The 22075-nt window shown below is 43.6% G+C and overlaps 1 pseudogene, 1 gene segment (V, D, J or C) and 1 further gene, besides 4 other annotated features; 1 reads left to right on the top strand and 2 right to left on the bottom strand.

Moving 5' to 3' along the window:
- The window catches only part of IGL (immunoglobulin lambda locus), an 896838-nt gene that overhangs the window by 744849 nt on the left and 129914 nt on the right, over positions 1 to 22075 (bottom strand).
- SOCS2P2 (suppressor of cytokine signaling 2 pseudogene 2) lies at positions 6463 to 8109 on the top strand (annotated as a pseudogene).
- Positions 9938 to 9997: an enhancer, noted in NCBI's record as "active region_18723". NCBI's record gives its function as "activates an Ori minimal core promoter by ATAC-STARR-seq in GM12878 lymphoblastoid cells {active_cell/tissue: GM12878}" and the evidence as "EXISTENCE:reporter gene assay evidence [ECO:0000049][PMID:35858748]".
- Positions 10148 to 10237: an enhancer, noted in NCBI's record as "active region_18722". NCBI's record gives its function as "activates an Ori minimal core promoter by ATAC-STARR-seq in GM12878 lymphoblastoid cells {active_cell/tissue: GM12878}" and the evidence as "EXISTENCE:reporter gene assay evidence [ECO:0000049][PMID:35858748]".
- Positions 14158 to 14345: a silencer, noted in NCBI's record as "fragment chr22:22518113-22518300 (GRCh37/hg19 assembly coordinates)". NCBI's record gives its function as "represses an EF-1alpha promoter that drives an FKBP-Casp9 reporter gene in an ReSE screen in K562 erythroleukemia cells {active_cell/tissue: K562}" and the evidence as "EXISTENCE:reporter gene assay evidence [ECO:0000049][PMID:32094911]".
- On the bottom strand, positions 15384 to 15867 carry IGLV4-60 (immunoglobulin lambda variable 4-60). The segment is given in 2 exon segments: positions 15384 to 15694; positions 15815 to 15867. Coding segments are annotated over 2 exon segments (364 nt in total).
- Positions 20988 to 21147: an enhancer, noted in NCBI's record as "active region_18721". NCBI's record gives its function as "activates an Ori minimal core promoter by ATAC-STARR-seq in GM12878 lymphoblastoid cells {active_cell/tissue: GM12878}" and the evidence as "EXISTENCE:reporter gene assay evidence [ECO:0000049][PMID:35858748]".

Here is a 22075-nt window from a genome sequence, read left to right as displayed (position 1 = left end):
CCAAGCTAGAGTGCAATGGTGCGATCTCAGCTCACTGCAAGCTCCGCCTCCCAGGTTCATGCCATTCTCCTGCCTCAGCCTCCTGAGTAGCTGGGACTACAGGCACCTGCCACCACGCCTGGCTAATTTTTTTTTTTTTTTTGTATTTTTAGTAGAGACGGGGTTTCATCATGTTAGCCAGGATGGTCTCGATCTCCTGACCTCGTGATCCGCGCAATCTCAGCCTCCCAAAGTGCTGGGATTACAGGCGTGAGCCACCGCACCTGGCCCAGAAAACATTTCCTAAGTCACACCATGATTTTAGCATGTTGATACTCACTAGATTTTATTTGTGAAAAAATAATTTGGGTAGGCATAACATTTACCAGTTCATGGTGTAACACATTTCTTATTTTATGAAGTGAGTTTTGTCTTCCTACCTTTTTATTTTTCTGCTTATCTGTTTCATCTACTTCTCAATAGAATTTTGTTTTAGATAGAATACAATTTGTTTATATTCTAAACCTAATTTTCCCTACTTACATTTTTTTCATGGCTTACTAAGAAAGATAAGTGTGACCTTTTAATGTTTCTGCAGAAACGTTGAATGACTGGACAGATTAATGCAGAAATTATCACTTCTTCACTGTATCCCAGATGCAAATCTGCTTTAACTGTGCAAATAGTCTTCAAACTTCTAGACTCACAGGTTCTCTTAGTGAATAATCTATGACCAGGATCCCCTGGTGCCCTCAGGCCTTTCTCCTCGAGGCAGCTGGAGACATCCTTCTCATTCAGCCTGTTCATCTTACTCCTGGGCTTAAACTCCTTTTGTGGTTCTTCATTGCTGTTTACATAAACCCTGGACCTTGCAGCCCCACCAGCATGCCCTTCACTTTATGGCCCCTGCCTACCTCACAGCCCTTCCTCTTGCTCTGGGGCCTCCGGTATCACTCACTTCTCTTTCCTGGGAAACCCTGAGCTCCTTTCCATTCTGTGGCCTTCTCACCAAGTCCTCCTCTGTGTGCGGGGAGGAGATGAGCTTCAACTGGAGGTCAGGGTGGAGGCACACCATCTGGCAACTCTGAGTGTCTGTTAAAAGCAAGACACACTATTAATGGACCAAACTTGAATCCATTGACCAGGTATACAAATCTAAGCACTGACATCAGGATTGCAGCAAGAGAATGAGACATTTATCACAGGCATCAAGCAAGGAGAATCGGGCAGCTCATGCTTAAGACCCAAACTCCCTGATGGCCTGAAAGCAAAGGTGTTTAAAAGCAGGGGAAATCTTCAGAAAACAGAAGTCATAGTCAAAACTGTAAATCAATATATAGAGGTTATACACTGATTTGGCCTAAAACAGTAGAGTATTTTGAAGCAGGGGCTTTCAGGTCAAAGGTAAGTAGATTTAGAAATTTCCTGATTTGCAACTGGTTAAGGTCGTAAAGCTTTGTCCAAAAAATTGGGGTCAACAGAAAGAAATGTTAGCTCTGGCTCATGGGCGTGATTTCCTCAGGGCCCCTCAGTAAGAGACTTAGAACAAAGAAGGGCAGTCAGACCTCAGTCCTCAGTTTCCCATTATCTGAGGCCTACTGACAGCCGAGACTTTTGGAGGTGGTCTGAGTGTTTGAAAAACAACTCAGGGGCATATGTTAAGTTGTTGTTTTTAGTTTCTATAGGGACCCAGACATCCCATGCCTCTAACTTCCTTGGTTGTTTTAAGCTCCTTTAACCTTTTTGCTAGTCAGGTTTTCTTCTCAGGGACAGTGAGGTACCTGAAATTTCCCTTGAAGAAACTCAAGATTCTCCTTTATTTCCGTGCTTCAGGGGGAGAAGTCAGGCCCTTAATAGGGGGTCCCTTATCCACCTCAATACACACACCACCACAGAAGAGTTCACAGAATTTTTTTTACACATTTGTCACTGTGGATGTTTTTGAAGTTGCAGACATCTATGGAGAAAAGCCCATTGCATGTCCTGGACCCAGCATCCCAACTAAATCATCATCAACATAAAATTGTCTTATTCATCTTACATCCCTCTTTACCCCTCACTCCACACACTCAACTAATTTTAAAACATATTCCAAACATCGTATCATTTCATTTACATATAATTTAGCATATGTACAAATTCCTAATGTTCCCAAACTCTTGTGCATTAAAGATAAAAATTTTAACTAATCTCATATAAAAGATCTGTGCTTTAATATCTCCAATGGTTAGGAAATGTTAACTGTTGTACTGTTTGAAAGTGAGGAGGGCATCAAAAACTTATCCACCATGATCAAGTGGGCTTCATCTCTGGGATGCAAGACTGGTTCAACATACGCAAATCAATAAACATAATCCAGCATATAAACAGAACTAAAAACAAAAACCACATGGTTATCTCAATAGACGCAGAAAAGGCCTTTGACAAAATTCAACAGCCCTTCATGCTAAAAACTCTCAATAAATTAGGTACTGATGGGATGTATCTCAAAATAATAAGAGCTATTTATGACAAACCCACAGCCAATATCATACTGAATGGGCAAAAACTGGAAGCATTCCCTTTCAAAACTGGCACAAGACAGGGATGCCCTCTCTCACCACTCCTACTCAACAAAGTGTTCGAAGTTCTGGCCAGGGCAATCAGGCAGGAGAAAGAAATAAAGGGTATTCAATTAGGAAAAGAGGAAGTCAAATTGTCCCTCTTTGCAGATGACATGATTGTATATCTAGAAAACCCCATCGTCTCAACTGTAAACTAGTTCAACCATTGTGGAAGTCAGTGTGGTGATTCCTCAGGGATCTAGAACTAGAAATACCATTTGACCCAGCCATCCCATTACTGGGTATATACCCAAAGGACTATAAATCATGCTTCTATAAAGACACATGCACACCTATGTTTATTGTGGCACTATTCACAATATCAAAGACTTGAAACCAACCCAAATGTCCAACAATGATAGACTGCATTAAGAAAACGTGGCACATATACACCATGGAATACTATGCAGCCATAAAAAATGATGAGTTCACGTCCTTTGTAGGGACACGGATGAAATTGGAAATCATCATTCTCAGTAAAATATCGCAAGGACAAAAAACCAAACACCGCATGTTCTCACTCATAGGTGGGAATTGAACAATGAGAACACATGGACACAGGAAGGGGAACATCACACTCTGGGGACTGTTGTGGGGTGGGGGGAGGGGGGAGGGATAGCATTAGGAGATATACCTAATGCTAAATGACGAGTTAATGGGTGCAGCACACCAGCATGTCACATGTATACATATGTAACTAACCTGCACATTGTGCACATGTACCCTAAAACTTAAAGTATAATAATAATAAAATAAAATAAAATAAAATAAAATAAAAAACCCCATCCTCTCAGCCTAAAATCTCAAGGTGATAAGCAACTTCAGCAAAGTCTCAGGATACAAAATCAATGTGCAAAAATCACAAGCATTCTCATACACCAATAACAGACAAACAGAGAGCCAAATCATGAGTGAACTCCCATTCACAATTGCTTCAAAGAGAATAAAATACCTAGGAATCCAACTTACAAGGGATGTGAAGGACCTCTTCAAGGAGAACTACAAGCCACTGCTCAACAAAATAAAAGAGGACACAAACAAATGGAAGAACATTCCATGCTCATGGATAGGAAGAACCAATATCGTGAAAATGGCCATACTCCCCAAGGTAATTTATAGATTCAATGCCATCCCAATCAAGCTACCAATGGCTTTCTTCACAGAATTGGAAAAAACTACTTTAAAGTTCAGATGGAACCAAAAAAGAGCCCGCATTGCCAAGACAATCCTAAGCCAAAAGAACAAAGCTGGAGGCATCATGCTACCTGACTTCAAACTACACTACAAGGCTACAGTAACCAAAACAGCATAGTACTAATACCAAAACAGAGATATAGACCAATGGAACAGAACAGAGCCCTCAGAAATACCACCGCACATCTACAACCATCTGATCTTTGATAAACCTGACAAAAACAAGAAATGGGGAAAGGATTCCCTATTTAATAAATGGTGCTGGGAAAACTGGCTAGCCATATGTACAAAGCTGAAACTGGATCCCTTCCTTACACCTTATACAAAAATCAATTCAAGATGGATTAAAGACTTAAATGTTAGACCTAAAACCATAAAAACTCTAGAAGAAAACCTAGGCAATACCATTCAGGACATAGGTATGGGCAAGGACTTCATGTCTAAAACACCAAAAGCAATGGCAACAAAAGCCGAAATTGACAACTGGGATCTAATTAAACTAAAGAGCTTCTGCACAGCAAAAGAAACTACGATCAAACCCAGTACAACTAAGTACAACAGTTAACTTACAGAATGGGAGAAAATTTTTGCAATCTACTCATCTGACAAAGGGCTAATATCCAGAAGCTACAAAGAACTCAAACAAATTTACAAGAAAAAAACAACCCCATCAAAAAGTGGGTGAAGGATATGAACAGACACTTCTCAAAAGAAGACATTTGTGCAGCCAACAGACACGTGAAAAAATGCTCACCATCACTGGCTGTCAGAGAAATGCAAATCAAAACCACAATGAGATACCATCTCACACCAGTTAGAATGGCAATCATTAAAAAGTCAGGAAACAACAGGTGCTGGAGAGGATGTGGAGAAACGGGAACAGTTTTACACTGTTGGTGGGACTGTAGACTAGTTCAAGCATTGTGGAAGACAATGTGGCTATTCCTCAGGGATCTAGAACTAGAAATACCATTTGACCCAGCCATCCCATTATTGGATATATACCCAAAGGATTATAAATCATGCTGCTATAAAGACACATGCACACCTGTGTTTATTGCGGCACTATTCACAATAGCAAAGACTTGGAACCAACCCAAATGTCCATCAATGATAGACTGGATTAAGAAAATGTGGCACATATATACCACGGAATACTATGCAGCCATAAAAAAGGATGAGTTCATGTCCTTTGCAGGGACATGGATGAAGCTGGAAACCATCATTCTGAGCAAACTATCGCAAGGACAAAAAACCAAACACCGCATATTCTCACTCATAGGTGGGAATTGAACAATGAGAACACTTGGAAACAGGAAGGGGAACATCACACACTGGGGCCTGTCATGGGATGGGGGTAGGGGGGAGGGATAGCATTAGGAGATACACCTAATATAAATGATGAGTTAATGGGTGCAGCACACCAACATGGCACATGTATACATATGTAACAAACCTGCATGTTGTGCATATGTACCCTAGAACTTAAAGTATAATTAAAAAAAAAAAAAAGAAAGTGAGGAGGGATAAGGCATGCTAGGTTTTACAGCCTTGAGGTGGATGGGATGACACACTTATTTATAAATTATTTATGTATTTATTTATTTATTTATTTATTGAGACAGAGACTTGCCCTGTCACCCAGGCTGAAGTGCAGTGGTGCAATCTTGGCTCACTGCAAGCTCCACCTCCCGGTTCAAGTGAATCTCCCACCCCAGCCTCTCCAGTAGCTGGGACTGCAGAGGTGCCCCCACGCCCGGCTACCTTTTGTATTTTTGGTAGAGACAGGGTTTCATCATGTTGGCCAGGCTGGTTTTGAACTCCTGACCTCAAGTAATCTGCCTGCCTTGGCCTACCAAAGTGCTGGGATTACAGGCATGAGCCACTGTGCCCAGCCCAGACATATTTATTTCTAACCGAAGTACTTACTTGGGGATAACTTTGTTACAGGAACTCTGTTTTTGAGGTAAATAGCATAGACTCAGATGTCAGAGCCCAGCTGGGAATGCTGGGAATGGTATCTCACAAGATGCAAGACATCCAGTTACATTAGAATTAAAGATAAGTAACTTTGCATAGGACATAATTATACTAAAAATAAAAATCTATTAAATGGTTGTTTACATGAATTCAAATTTAACTGATAACCAGTATTTATATTTCCTCAATTGGGGCACCCTATCTCCAGCTCACGGGCACCCCCTGTCCATTCAGGGTGTATTTTTGGTAAATGGTAATAGAGCTGTTGTTTCTCATGCCTCAAGCTATACTGAATCTGTTCAATTTGCACTGCAAGCTAATCTCTTCTTTCACTATTTTGTGCATTAAATATTAAGAATAATATACTTGAGGGACAGATATTTAAGTCATCTCATGTCTTACCGCTGTGGCTCAGGAATCTTTGGCTTCCCCTGCAGCATAAGCCCTCTCACTCGGAGCCACCGGTGCTGCATGGGACATGGCCCATGTGTCCTGTGCCAGGGCACTGACCGCAGCCTCAGGATCCTCCTGCTGGTGATCTGTGGGTGATGCATCTGCAAGGAACTTTGTCATCCCTCAACCTGGACCTGTTGAGAAAAACAGGCAGCTTTTCATTCCTTCCCCATCTTCCACCAGTTCAGAAACCCATAGGGTTGATTGGGGGGGTTCCCACTGACTTCCAGGAAAAATGAAAGCTCCTTTCTCACCCAGTTTGGGTGGCCATCTGTCTTTGCCTCAGTGACCTTACTTCCATGACCCTGTGGTGTCTCCAGCCCTCTGGGAATGGCAGGGAATAGATGCAGAGCCAGTGAGGAGCAGGGTCAGCACAGGAACCTTCCCTGGAGGTGGTGCATCTGGTGAAGTCCCCGTAGGAGCTCAAACAGGATGGCACTGGGGAAGGATGATTGTTAATGAAGCCAAAGAAAAGTTAAAAGAGACACCAGAAGGAAATTTCTTGGTTAGAGATAGTTCACATTCAGATGATCTACTAACAGTATCTGTTAAAATATCAGCTGGACCAACTAATCTGCAAGTTGAATATGAAGATGGGCAATTGGCATGGAACTCTATCATGTATCAAGTCCAAGCTTCAACAGTTTGATGGTGTGGCACATCTGATGACTTTGTTCAGGTGTGCAAGGATAAGCAGATGGACCCCAAAGCCTTTAGATCAACACTGCTCACCTTTATCTGCTCACTGTTCTACTCATCAGCAACACCCCTGCAACACTGTCTAGACTCACCATTGACAAAATGCACTGGTGCCATCTGGGGACTGCCTTTACCAACAGTACTAACAGGTTACGTGGAAGAACAAAAACTCCCAAGTATAAGGGTCCTTCTTTTTCTAAACATGCCTCATGTGGAGTACCTCTGAATGCAGCCATGTAAGGAGAACCAGAACTTCAGTGGCTGCTCTGGATAACTATGCAGAATGCTTTCTAAGAACAGCTGAAGTCAATCTAATTTAAATATATCAAGAGGTAGCCAGGTATTTAAAGTTTCCCCAAATACTTTTATCTGAGTGATGCTTTCTTTCCTAAGGCTGAACAAGACCAGTTGATCCCTTTAAATTAAAAAATAAAAGGTCTCAAGTAAGGGCTGAAGGGGCATTTTATCAGAATGCCTTGCCTTCCTGAGGTTCTTCTCCATTAGGTCAAAAGTCCAGGCTCTTGCAGTAGAGAAAGAGCTCCTCATAGAAGCACCAAAGAAGTGGGAGGAACGAAGCTGACATGGGTTTCACTTCAATTTTATATGCCTGCTCATCAGAGTCTCCTTAGAACATTTTATATTTTGCATCCTGATTCACCGAGGAGTTTTGTTAAACAGATTATGCGTGTGAGAATTTCTCTCTCATTTTATGCAATCAAATCAACTTTAAAAGGTTGACGTTAAAATCCTGGGTTTGCCTTTTCACTATATGTGAGACCCTCTTATGTGTATAAGTAATGTAATAATTCATTTGAAGTAATCCTTATTTCAGAAATATTTCAAACTGGTGCAAATGGAAAATACTTTCACTTTTCCTTTAAGGCTAAAGATAAGAATGCCATGCTGTTTAGGTGCAACTCAATCTTCGTTAATAAAAAACAATGTAGATATAGATATTTTACCCCTTGAAGTAGTTGTGTCCCTGTTGCTGTTGATTTTTAGAAAAATGGCTTTAGAAATTCCAAGTTGTCCTTGACTTGTCTAACCATGGATATCAGCAGTTGTCTTTTTTTTTTTTTTTACCATGGAGACTAGTTTGATGTAATTTTATTCCAGATATAGGCAGGCACCTGTCTGTTTTTCAGTGCATTTAGTTACTGCTGTTACTATTTAATTAGACTGTATTAAATTTTAAAAACCTAGAAAAAATAATAATGTATTTGAAGCTTTCATTGAACATGGTAGCCATCTCATCCTGACACCACAAGATCACAGAAATGGCCAGAAGTGTTTCAGTAACTCAAGAGACCCTTCTAATTTACATGAGAAAAATATTTACAAAAATTTCTTACAAAACAATTGGAATTAGTTTTGCATTTGTACCTACGAACAAAATAAAATTAAGCCTTATTTACATGTTTATATAATTTTTGTGACAGCGAGAATAACTTACGTCAACCTTCAATGCCAGTTATACAAGGAAGAAATACGAAGACAGACATGGTCACATTTGTTGAAAAAACTGAGAAACAAGATGAGAGAATGCATGCAAACTCAGAAATAGTTACAATGACTGTTTGGTGTAATAATTTCCTTGAGCTGCCATAAAAATAACCCTACACATGTGATTTAAAATGAAAGGCATTTATTGTTTCACAGTTCTGGAAGCTAGAAATCCAAATCCATAGGGCGGGGCCATGTTCCCTCTGACACCTGTAGAGAAAACCTTCCTGGGATTCTTCCTGGCAGCTCTTCCTCTTTGCTAGTAATCTTTGGTGTTCCTTGTATTGTAGCTGAGTAACTTCACTCCATGCCTCCATATTAACATGACTTTCTCCCTGTGCCTCTCTGTCTTCTCATGGTTGACTTCCTACAAGGACCCAGGAACACTGATAAAGAGACCTCCCTACTCCAGAATGACCTCATCTTAACTATTATATCTTCAATGATCCGATTTTCAAATGATTTTATGTGCTTGAATACTGGGGTGTAGGGCTTTAACATATATTCTTTAGAGTCCAATACAACACATAACATATAGAAAAAAGAATTTCTTACAAAAAATCATTTTAATATGTTTTAAATTGTGCAATACACCTTAATTACAACCTAATAAAAAATGTTATTAATATACCAAAGAACGTTTCTTCCTTTCGTTCTTAGCTGGCAAAGTACATCGTTGAAGATTATTCCTCCTGCAAAAAAATATATTTAAATTTATTCCTTGGATCTGATGTAGGCAATACTATTCCTTTTGGATTACAAAATATTAGGAATCCGCTTTTCTGGAACAGTTCCTCCTCATTGATGGATTTCCTCAACTTTTGGACACAAACAGGAATAAATATTGATGTAGACCCTTCTGTTTACCTTTTTCTTTAAGGATAGGCAACATTTAGACCGCCTTGAGAGCTCAGGTTTCTGGTCATGTGATCCTGATATCACGTGATCATTTTCTCCCCAGGCTGTCAGAGGCAGGGTTACGTCTTGGCTCCCCATCTGGATCTTTCACTGCAGTAACCCCCACTGTCGTGTAGCTTGAGTAGTACTCAGTCTAGCCTATGGATTGGGTCCCCCAGAGGCTCAGGGCAGCTTTGCTCCCAGGAAGGTCTGAGAATCAGGTGGTCATTCAGGAATGTTTGTTGCTTGCATCATAAATCAATGTCTCAAAAAGTTGGCCAGACTTCTGTTGCATCCAGTGTGGATAGAAATTGTTGGTGACCACTCTGGTGCTGGAGCCACAGGTGAGAGTGACTGTCCCTCCTCAGGAAAGAGTCAGTGAGGGCTCCTCAGTCACCACACCCTAAGAACTGGATACTGAAACCGAAACAGACACGACAGGAATGGGGAAGAACAGAGGGCTCTCTCCATGGGCTGGTCTTTGAAATCTCCATGAACCTGGGCAAAGACTGAACAGGATGGGGAAGTGGAGGAGAAGCATCCAGGGCATGATGTAAACTTTCCAAAAATCTGCAGAGCTCTAAGATGCTGCTGGACCCTGAGATGGTTCTTTTATCTCCTATGCAGCTCCCTAGATGAAGGGCATATATTTGGTTCACACATTAATAAGCACTTTACCAAAACCATCACCAACACCATCTGCTTCTGTTGTTTTCAGCTGAGAGAGCAGCTCTACTGTCAGGGGGGCTGGGCTGCTGTGAGGTCTAATTTCACCACTTGAGAGGAAGCACCTGCTATCACCTCTAACTCAGACCAGTGAGCATGGGCCCCAGGACCCATTAAATGAGATTCGTGGGAGTTTATTTCAGGCTTTTCTCACCTCTGAGAAGACTCACAGTGTCCCCTGGGAACATCTTCAAGAGAGTATTAATGGGGAAACGATAAAAAGCTAAAGGTAGTTCTTTCTTTCAATAAATAAATGCTATTTTATTCTTTATATTTTCCACTTTAATGTTTCCCAAGTCAAACCAGAATCATTGATTTTCATGTGTTTACCTACTTATTTTTACTGTATTTTTATGTCGTGTGGAACACCTCACCCAGTGACTGAATCTCAAATGTAACCAGTTCTTGAGTCCTGCCTTAACTTTCTTTTTAAATGTGCTCTAGTTTATTAGGTTCTTTAATTTCCAGTTGGTTTGATTTTATAACTTCTCTTTTCTGAGATTTTCTTCTTTTCCATTTGTTTCAAGAGTGTTTTTAATTATTCATTGAAGGGATTTTGTGGTTGTTGCTTTAAAAATCCGTCATATGATTTTAGCATCTGAGTTTGCTTCAGTGTCCATGCGTGTCACTGTCTTCTTTCATTTGGGTTCTGAATGTCCTAATTCTTGATGTGACAATGATTTCATGAACTGAATGCTAGACACCTTAAATACTGTATTTTGAGCCTCTAGGCACCACTAATCTCCCTTTTATCAGGTGATCTTCTTGTTGAGTTGTTGAAGGACACAGGTTTGTAGGTTCAGCTTCCCACTGCCAAAGCAAAGGCAGAACGCTGGCTCTCAGTACTCCAGTGCTGCTGACACTTTCATGAGAAAAAGAGGACTCACTGACACCAGGGCAGGGAGGGGGACAGCAGGTGTGCCAACGACACTGACTTCCATCCCCAACCAGTATTCTCATTGCCAGGTGGGAGACAAAGCTCTGGTCCTCCCTGGCCCCCATAACCACCAGAGTCTGGGTTCAGGGAGGGAATACTGAGGGCTGGTGTGCTCTGCCTTGTACCATTTCATTCAACTCATTGCTGGGGATGGGGGCTGAAATTCAGTTCCTGACTGGGCCCTGCCAAAATCAGGCATAGGTGGATGGGAGGATAAACCAGCTCAAACTAGCCCTGCCATGCTCGCCTGGTTGAGGATATTGGGGTGAAAGCTCAGCTGCTCACTGAGCCCCACTGACACTACCCCAGATGGGCAATCAGAGCATGGCCCGCTCCTGCTGGGCAGGGTGTTGTTGACTAGGAGGGTTTCTGAGGCACCACAGCCTGGAGACTGCTGGTACCAAAACACGTGCATACTCCCATCATTGGTGCTGCTCCCAGTGCAGGTGCTGGGGTCATCTGTCCCACAGACCTGGACACTGCAGTTGGCTGAGTCAGCACAGAACAGGCCCAGGACCCTGAATATCATGACAGACAAAGAGTAAGAGACACAGGTTAGTGGACAGGGACACACACAGCAATCCTGGTCCCTTCATCCTCAGCCCTGACGCCTGGCCCCAGCCAGCTGAGCAGTGAAGGAGAAAAGGAAAGAGGCCACGAGCCCAGGCCATGGTGGGGACCCGCCACACAGCTGTGTCCTGAGGACCCTCAGGTGGGCCTGGATTCTTCAAGTCTCTCCTATCCTTCCAGCAGTTCAGGGCGAAGGGGGTTAGGAGGGACTTGCAAACCAGCCTCCTCTCCTGGGCTGTCTAAACCCCACCTTGGGTTCTGACTCTTGACCTCTGCCTGGAAAGCTAACCCCGGGAGAGTGTGGACCTGGGTGTGGCTATTCTGTGGGTACTCAGGGACCTGTGAGGACACAGCTGCTAGTCCCAGTGAGCAGGGGACAGAGGGCTCCAGGCCAGGACCAGGGGGTGGCTCCCAGCTGGGATCCACAGCACAGCCCTCAGGGCTAGGCCACAGCATCCCCTGCTGCCCAAAGCTCAGACACACCCATGTCTCCTGTCTCTTCCTCTGTCCACTTTGTCCTCCCTAAAAGAATGGAGCTGGGCAGTGTCCATGCCAGGCCACACCTGGTCTCAGGTCTCCACACAGCCCCTACCCCTGGACTCACCTGCCCAACTCACTGTATGGTTTACGGGACTCTGCTAAGAGCTCTGCCTCTCTGAAAAGCATTCCCTGGGTACAACGAAGTGGGAGGCCCAGCAGGGACAGGGCATCCCCTCCCTCCAGGGCACCAGGAGCTGCTCCCTCTTCCTTCCCCCTGGCTGATCAGAGCCTGTGCCCAGACTGCCAGGACCTGCCCTTGGGTTCAACCTCTCCCTCTGTGCCCCTCTTCCCTTCTGCCCCTCACTTACACAGATTGCAGAAAGTGAGATTAATGAATGAATACATTAATAAGTAAATAAATATTTCCCAACCCAGGCATAAATTCTATGTCTAGACACAGTGCAATTTTGAAAGTGAGGAAAGAGGGAAGCTCTGGGTAGGCTCCTGATTCCTAATTCTCCCTCCTGTCTTGAGCATTGAGAGACTATTAGCACTTTTAAGGGGTGGGGTCAGCACCCTGTAAGCCTGCCTTGGGCATATGGAAAAAAAATGCTCCTACAGTTTCAGAGAAAGCCCTTACAGAGTTTGGAGACAATGACTTGGATAAAGACCATGGTTGCAGAGCAGGGCCCTTGAAGCAGCCCTGGGTTCTCCCCTGGCCCGAACCCCAGTGAGGAAGGCAATGGGAGGAGGATGAAGGGAGGAGCCCGGGTTGTGGGGAGCCCCTGTGAGCTCTGCTCCCTGTGGTCTCTAGTGGAGCCCAAATGCCTACATCTCCTCAGTTACCACCCACACCCAGGACACAGAGCCAGACTGCAAGGTGGGATCTTCTTGCAAATCTGTTCTCCACTCAGCCATGCAAGCCCCACTCTTGGCACAGAGTATGAACCTGCTCCTGGAGCTGAAAACAGATCACAGGGAAGAGTGGGACGAGGACACCCAGAGGCTCTGGGAGGGACAGCATCTGGGATACCGAGCACTGGACATATAACATGGGACTTGGTTGTCATGTGATCTTCCCTAGGGACCCTCAGAAAAAGACCCAAGACCTGGTTCCCCTGTGGCTTCAGGACCCAGCTCCTGCCTCATTATCACTGCTCTAGCACTGAGCCCTTCTCCTCAGAACAATCACAAAAGACACTTTTCTTCATGTTGCACCATCTGTATCACATCTGGCCCCCCACCTGTCATCTGATTCCCCCACAGACCATCCCCTGCTCACTTCAATTTGCTTTTCTGCATCATCGTCAGGTCTCAGCCTCCCTAGGGATGTCTCTGCAGGAGGCCCACATTGCAGAGAGCTCAGCCCCTTGACAGCTGTGCCTTGGTTGCCCAAAGCTCAGCACCTCTTCCTTCCAGCCCTAGGCCAAGCCAGGGCCAGGCCTTTCAGAAGGGTAAACCTACATTTCTTCAAGTGTCAGACTTCCACTGTCACAATCAGATCCTGGGGAGCAAACATCAAGATGAAGATGTTATCAACAAAGATTATGGGGAGTAGTTTCTGTAATCCCCCCTAAAACTATCTCCCTATTGGACAATTACTATCCTTCCCTCTAGCCAGCCCTAGCAATGAGTGGAGTGTGGAGGGATTGGTAAACTCAATGAGCCAGGAGAGCCCAGGGTCCAGGAACCCATTATGATGCAAGGATGAGCAGTGAGCAGTGAGCAGATGCCCTCGTGGCTCTTAGGAAATGCTACTTAACCAGGTGAAAGCTTTCTATGGGCTGTGCTTTTTATCCCTCTAGTCCCCAAAGAACTGAGATGCATTCCAGCAACGTTCCAGCCAAATAAGCAGAAAGGGGAAATAATGAAGGCTCAAGGTTCTTAGGATTAAAGTAGAACAGATGAACAGTGATGGGGCCCAGAGAGCCTTCCTTACTGGGAGGTTGATCCTGCACCTTGGGATCCGGGAACTCCTTGGGGGCATCTTCTGAGGATTTAGAGGGAGTGGCTTCCCTAATAATGATGCACCAAGTTAAAAGCATCAGACTTGCTGGAATCACAAGTGACAGCAGAATCCACAACCTGAGCAGGTGTCGGTCACAGGCAGGGACAGGGCAGTGACGGATTTGATGGGGGAAATGGAGGACAGATGTTTATGTCACTTCCCCATGGAATGGGAGCTCATGGCAGCATCGGGTTGTATTCAGCTCTGACAGTGATAGTCATCCTGACCCTCGGGCTGCACAGTCAAGGAAAGTCAAGTTGAAAAAGGAGAATCAGGCTGAGATCCCTGAAGGTTGATTACTGCAGTTCTCAGTCACAAATTCAGGATTTCTCTGGAGCCATTGGGCCAGTTTCCATGGTAATATTCAATGTTTCTGCTGACCCCTGTGCAGGAGAAGGTGACCTTGGAATCTGGACACATCAAGAGCTTCACACAAGGAAGTTTCACTTGCACAGGTTGAAGAGTTTCTTCTCCATGATCTCCTGTAGACCCCATCTCACAGAGTAGATTACTGAATATCTCCAATGGGATAAGAAAAAAGAGGACACAAGTCAGTGTTTGTGAGTTCAGAAAAATCCACCCATGGGTGTCCTCATGTTTCTGAGTGGAATGAGCTGAAGGGAAGCCACACTCACAAGACCGATTTCCCCAAACTTCTTAGGAGCTCACTCAACATTCCCCTAGCAATGGTGGAGCCACCATGTCACCCTCTCACAGCCCACAAAGACATCTTCTGGCCTCAGTTTCATGAATAACCCCATACCCAACTTCTTTCTATCCTGACATTTTAACTTAAAATAAAGGAACCTGAAAGTGAATCAGGCCAGCTCTGTGTTTGGAATTACTCCCAGGCCTGTCCTCTGGGGTATTACACACCTGAGTGCCTAGTCCCAGGATGCAGGGAACATCAGGCAGCCCTGACTACAGACACCTGGGGTGGGAAAGGGAGGTCTCCTCATTGACCCCTTGAAGAACAAGAGCCCATGCTGCAGGGGACTGTCCATTTGTGGGCTTGAAGTTTGGGCTCTGAGCAAGATTTGCTCAAGGGAAGGCTCATTCTTTTTTTCTTTCAAGAGAAAAGGTGAGCTTCACAGACTTTGGTATCAGCCCATAAGGATAAGCAGACATCTCAGTGTCATCAGGAGGCTTATGTTCTTGTTTATGTTTTAATTTCTTCTGAGACTTCTGAAACATTAAATGGGAAATTGTGAGTAAAATTGTTCTAAATCAGAGGATGCATCCAGATAGATTTTTTACATACAGAAAATGTTTTAAAATTAAAAATTGTCACTGAACAATAGCCTCAGCAGGTTGAGGATTTTGTCCCACTTCCTCATCTGCCTGTATCACTGTGTGAGTGTTACTGTCCCAGGTCTCACAGTAATAATCAGCCTCATCCTCAAACTGGAGGTTGGAGATGGTGAGGTAGCGGTCAGCCCCAGAGCTGGAGCCTGAGAAGCGATCAGGAACTCCGCTCCCCTTGTTGTAGCTTCCACTACCTTCAAGCTTCATCAAGTACCGAGGGGCCTTCCCTGGCTGCTGCTGATGCCATGCGATGATGTAGCTACTGTGCCCACTGCTCAGAGTGCAGGTGAGCTTGACCGAGGATCCCAGGGAAGCAGAGGCAGAGGATGATTGAGTCAGCACAGGCTGGGAGAGAGACCCTGAAAACAGAGACGCTCATTATGGCCTGAAGGAAGGACAAGAGCAAACAACATTTCTGGTATGAGTTTGGGAGATGGTGTCAGTGAGCTGGGGCATGAGGATGCTGAGGGTCCTCCTGACCTGTGCAGTGGAGGAGGAGAGGGAAGAGGAGGAGGAGTGGGGTCCAGGCCATGGTGCAGACTCCCCAGAGCTCTGCTGAGGCAGCCACGCTGCAGGTCTCTCTTATCCACCCTCTAGCCTCAAAGGAGAGGGAGGGGCCCTTCATGCAAATGTGCTCCTCTTCCCCTGCTTAACCTAACTCTCCCTGGGCCTGTGTACAGCCTCTGTGGCTGGGTGACACTACTAGGAGGAGTCAGCCTGGGCTGAGCTTGGCCTGAAGCTCCCCAAGCACCCAGAGAGGACCCAGCTGCTGGCCCCAGTGAGCCGTGAGGCAAAACAAAGTTCATGGACTTTATTTCCCAGCTGAGAGCCGCACAGAGCCCCCACCAGCAGCCCCATTGTGCTCTCTGCAGCCCAGGCCCAGGCCCATCGTGTCTGTGACCAGATGCCAGAGGATGAGACCCTTCCTCAGGGCAGCCTCCTACCTCATCTCAGCCTTTAACTCTCTTTTTTTTTTTTTAATTATTATTATACTTTAAGTTTTAGGGTACATGTGCACAATGTGCAGGTTAGTTACATATGTATACATGTGCCATGCTAGTGTGCTGCACCCGCTAACTCATCATCTAGCATTAGGTATATCTCCCAATGCTATCCCTCCCCCCTCCCCCCACCACACAACAGTCCCCAGAGTGTGATGTTCCCCTTCCTGTGTCCATGTTTTCTCATTGTTCAATTCCCACCTATGAGTGAGAATATGCGGTGTTTGGTTTTTTGTTCTTGCAATAGTTTACTGAGAATGATAATTTCCAATTTCATCCATGTCCCTACAAAGGACATGAACTCATCCTTTTTTATGGCTGCATAGTATTCCATGGTGTATATGTGCCACGTTTTCTTAATCCAGTCTATCATTGTTGGACATTTGGGTTGGTTCCAAGTCTTTGCTATTGTGAATAGTGCCACAATAAACATACGTGTGCATGTGTCTTTATAGCAGCATGATTTATAGTCCTTTGGGTATATACCCAGTAATGGAATGGCTGGGTCAAATGGTATTTCTAGTTCTAGCTCCCTGAAGAATCGCCACACTGACTTCCACAATGGTTGAACTAGTTTACAGTCCCACCAACAGTGTAAAAGTGTTCCTATTTCTCCACATCCTCTCCAGCACCTGTTGTTTCCTGACTTTTTAGTGATTGCCATTCTAACTGGTGTGAGATGGTATCTCATTGTGGTTTTGATTTGCATTTCTCTGATGGCCAGTGATGGTGAGCATTTTTTCGTATGTTTTTTGGCTGCATAAATGCCTTCTTCTGAGAAGTGTCTGTTCATGTCCTTCGCCCACTTTTTGATGGGGTTTTTTGTTTTTTTCTTGTAAATTTGTTTGAGTTCATTGTAGATTCTGGATATTAGCCCCTTTGTCAGATGAGTAGGTTGTGAAAATTTTCTCCCATTTTGTAGGTTGCCTGTTCACTCTGATGGTAGTTTCTTTTGCTGTGCAGAAGCTCTTTAGTTTAATCAGATCCCATTTGTCAATTTTGGCTTTTGTTGCCATTGCTTTTGGTGTTTTAGACGTGAAGTCCTTGCCCATGCCTATGTCCTGAATGGTAATGCCTAGGTTTTCTTCTTAGGGTTTTTATGGTTTTAGGTCTAACATTTAAGTCTTTAATCCATCTTGAATTGATTTTTGTATAAGGTGTAAGGAAGGGATCCAGTTTCAGCTTTCTACATATGGCTAGCCAGTTTTCCCAGCACCATTTATTAAATAGGGAATCCTTTCCCCATTGCTTGTTTTTCTCAGGTTTGTCAAAGATCAGATAGTTGTAGATATGCGGCGTTATTTCTGAGGGCTCTGTTCTGTTCCATTGATCTATATCTCTGTTTTGGTACCAGTACCATACTGTTTTGGTTACTGTAGCCTTGTAGTATAGTTTGAAGTCAGGTAGTGTGATGCCTCCAGCTTTGTTCTTTTGGCTTAGGATTGACTTGGCGATGCGGGCTCTTTTTTGGTTCCATATGAACTTTAAAATAGTTTTTTCCAATTCTGTGAAGAAAGTCATTGGTAGCTTGATGGGGATGGCATTGAATCTATAAATTACCTTGGGCAGTATGGCCATTTTCATGATATTGATTCTTCCTACCCATGAGCATGGAATATTTGGGCTTCCTCTGTGAAAACACAACACATAATTCTTCCCATTTTATAAGGAGTCCGCAGGAGAAGGTTGTCTCATATACAAACTGTGCATGAAATAAAGTACATTTGCTGAGAACAAGGACAGTTCAGCCATGCACCCACTTCCCCACAAACTCATGAAGCCATGTTTCTCTCCCTACTTGATTCTTCAGGAGATCACACATAGAGAGCAGGGTGAGCATTTGGGAGGATCCTTTAACCTGACTGAGTGCTTCACTGAATGCTCTAGTAACTGAGGAGAGAAACGGGTTGGAAGGAGAAGCTATTTGAGGGGATGGAAAAGAGAAACAGTGGCCTCAGGCATCTTTTGTAGTAAGGGGTAAGAGAGGCTGAAGAACGAAGAGGGAATGTGAGTGACAACTTTCAAGAAAAGATGAAAAATACCCATGGCTTTTCTTCTAGAAATATTTTGGTGATTGTCTAAGGAGGTCACAGAGAAGAAGGAAGTGGAATGAAAGGGAGAGAAACAGGAGAACTGAGAAGGGAAGTTGTGAGTTTGAGATGGGGAAGCAGAGAGGGTGAGGAGGGTCCATGCTTGGGAAAAGACTGGAGAAGAAGCCAGTGCAGAAATTGGGCAGGAGCCAGCAGGGATGTTGGATCAAGAGGAGGTTTGAGTTGTGTTTGCATTCATTTCTATTTCTTAAAAAAAAAAAAATAGAACCTCTCCCAACTTCCCATCTGCCCTCTGTGATCAGCTCCCTGCCTGGAATTGGGGATTTCTCTTTGATCATAATCCTTTAGCTCCCTCTCAGATAAATTTCTATTTGGTTTCTGTCTGAAAGTGGCTTCCCTTATTTCCCACCATTCTTATGAATATGGTAATATTAAAACATGTATGTGGATCTTTGGAAGAAGGGGCCTTCTAGAAACGCAGAATTTCAGTCCACAGTCCAGACCCACTGATCAGAATCCACATTATCCAGGATCCCACATGATCCATGTGCACATTCAAGTCTGAGCAGCTCTGGGCTGATCCAGGGAGGAAGGCGCTGGTGGGTTTGGTGATAGGTGGTTCCTCATGCCCCAGTCTGTTCTGCGTCCTGCCCACATGTCCAGCAAACTCACACTGTTGTACATGATGCTCTGGGCATGCTGCATTTGTGACTTCCCAAACAATATGTAGGTGTCTCCCCCTGCACTCTCAAATCCACAGAGATGACCAGGAGTGTTTTGTTAATAACAAGGTGATCTTCCCACCTTCACATCTTGATACTAGTGAACAAGTGGAATTATGTAAAAGCTACAATTTTCCATTAGATCTCATAATGTTAATATTATTATTCAGTTCTCATATATTTAGGGATTTTTAAGACACAAGGATTTCTTATCTTAACCTTAAATTACAAGCATATTTATAAAGTTAGAAATATGAGCACAGATATAATCATATTCATGGAAAAACTGGTTGCCAAAATGAAAGAAGTACAATCAATTTCAGAAGTATTGTGTAATTTATTGTCTGGTGTATTGGTTTCCTAGAACTGCTGTCAGAATGTATTAAACACAAGTTTGGTTAAGATAACACAAATGTATTGTCTCACAGTTCTGGAGGCTAGCCTCCCAAAATTCATAGAAAGGGCAATGTTTCCATATATACCTGAGGGGAGATCCTTCCTTCCCTCTTTCTGGCTGCTGGTGGTTTGCCAGCAATCTTTAGTGCTCCTTATCTTGCAGCTGTGTAAATTCAATCTCTGCCTTCGTCGTCACACGGCATTCTCTCTGTGTCTTCCAATCTCCTTACTACCATCATCTTATAAGGACACCAGGCACATTGGATCAAGAGGCCACCTCGCTCTAGGATGGCTTCATCCTAAGAATTACATAAGCAATAACACTATTTTAAAAATAAGGTCACATTTAGAAGTACTGGGGGTTAGACCTTCAAAATATTTTCCTAGGTGGATACTTTCTTATATAACATTAGAGAAGAGAATCCCTCTTAACACTTTTATAATTTTTAATGCTTAAAAAGCTATGAAATACACACTATTAACATAGAACATGAAATAAACTTTATTAATATAATTTCCTCTCTTAGCTTTTAATAGGCAAAACAACAACAAAATCTTTTGAGATCCATCTTTCTGGATGAAGTGTGTTTGACCTTAGTCTTTAGAGTTGATCTCACTATTACTGTTCTGTTTGGAATATAAACATAAATTCTTCTTTTTGGGAATCTGCATCTCCCAAATGATTCACAAATATTTTCCACTTTAAAATTCAAACAGATACAGGAATCAATTTACACCCCTCCACCCACCTTTCTCTCTACGGATAGTTAAAATTTAGGTGTCCTTGAGAGCTCAGGTGTCTGGCCACGTGATCCTGATATCCTACGTTCATGTTTGTACCCCGGATCAGCCAAAAGCTCGTTCATGTCCTGCTTCCCCATCTGGGTCTCTCACTGTGCTAAGGACCACTGTGGTGTAGCCCACAGTATACTCAGCCTCATCCTCAGGCTGGGCCCCTTGAGGGGTCAGGGCAGCTTTCCCCCAGGAGGGAGCCAGAGAATCAAGTGGGCATCCAGGGGTGTTTGTTATCTGTGTTACACATCAATGTCCTGAGGACTTGACCAGGCTTCTGCTGAATTCAGTGCTGTGGTGCTGAAGCCACACATGAGAATAAGTCTCTCTCTTTAGGACACAGTCAGTGAGGGCTCCTGAGTCACCACAGCCTGAGAACTGAACCAAGAAACTAAAACAGATACATGTTATGTGTGAGGAATCACAGCAGACAGATCCCTCCAAAGTCCTGTCTTTGAAATCTACATGAACCTGGGCAGTGAGGAGGGAGAGAGGGGAGGATAGACATCCAAGCTATGGTGTGGACTTTCCAAGGATCCCCAGAACCCCCGGCTACTTCTGGACCCTGGGACAGTTCCTCTAACTCCTCGTCACCTCCCCGGGTAGATGTGTGTTTGGTTAGGACATTATGCAAACATGGGGCCTCTACCAAAACCACCGGCTCCCTAAGTTCTGAGTGCTCAGCCAGGCAGCAGCCGCTCTGTCAGGGAGGATGGGCTGCTGGGAACTCTGAGTTTGCCCTTTGGGAGAAAGCACCTGCTCTAAACCCCAATTCGGGCCAGTGAGTATGGACCCAGGAGCCATAAATGAGAGCCCCGGGAGTTCATTTCCGGCCTTGCTCACCTCTGAGAAGATCCACAGCTCCCTCTGCTGGGCTTAGATGGCTATTGTTTGTACTTTCTTCCCTACTTAACGGTAAATAATTCCTCTAATGCCTGAACTTTAATTTCACTGTTACCTGTTCCAGAGTCCCTCCAGACTGTTCTTTTTAATTTATTGCATTTTTCTGTTTTCTAATTTTAATTTGGTTTGTTTCTATGACTTATTTTTCTTTTCGGGATTTGCTTCTTTTCCACTTGTTTCAAGAATGTCCCCTCTGACACAAGTTTACCTACGTAACATACCTGCACATGAACCCCTGAACCTAAAACTTCAAAAAATAATGTCTAAAATTGCTCACTGAAGGAATTGTATAATTACTCCTTAATTAATCTCAGTTACATAACATCAGCACCTAAATTATTTCAGTATTGGTGTCTATCAATTGTCTTTTCTCATTTAAGTTGTGTTCTTCTGGTTCTTCATATGGAAAGTTATTTTACTGTATCCTAGATATTGTGGATATTATAAGACTTTCTACAAGTTTATCAAGACACATGAAATAGTGCTTGTTTTTGTTTTATTGCTTTTTTTTTACTTTGTCATTAAGAGGAAAAATGACACACATTCCCCTTTGTATGCATTTAATTTCACATTTTGCAATCAATCAAATCATATGGGAAATGAGTTACCCTGTAGTCTGCTTTGCATCTGCTGAAATATTCCTGAAGCCTCTTATGTCTCTCATCCTCTATCTTAGCCATTTTCTTTGAAGTTCACCAAATATGCCAAAGTGTTGCTTATAACTTGAGGAAGAAGAAATTCACCTTTGATCTCAAGTGACTGCCATGATTGATAGAAAAAGTGCTTGTGATGATCCCATTGGGGGCCTGAAGAATAAATGATCTGAGTCTACAGTGGTTGAAAACCAGACTCCAAAAACAAGAAATTTGCTTCAGA

This window comes from Homo sapiens, chromosome 22, assembly GCF_000001405.40.
Source record: "Homo sapiens chromosome 22, GRCh38.p14 Primary Assembly".
Lineage (NCBI taxonomy): Eukaryota > Metazoa > Chordata > Mammalia > Primates > Hominidae > Homo > Homo sapiens.
Note: the sequence above shows the minus strand (reverse complement) of the source record. Positions and strands in the feature narration are given on the sequence as shown.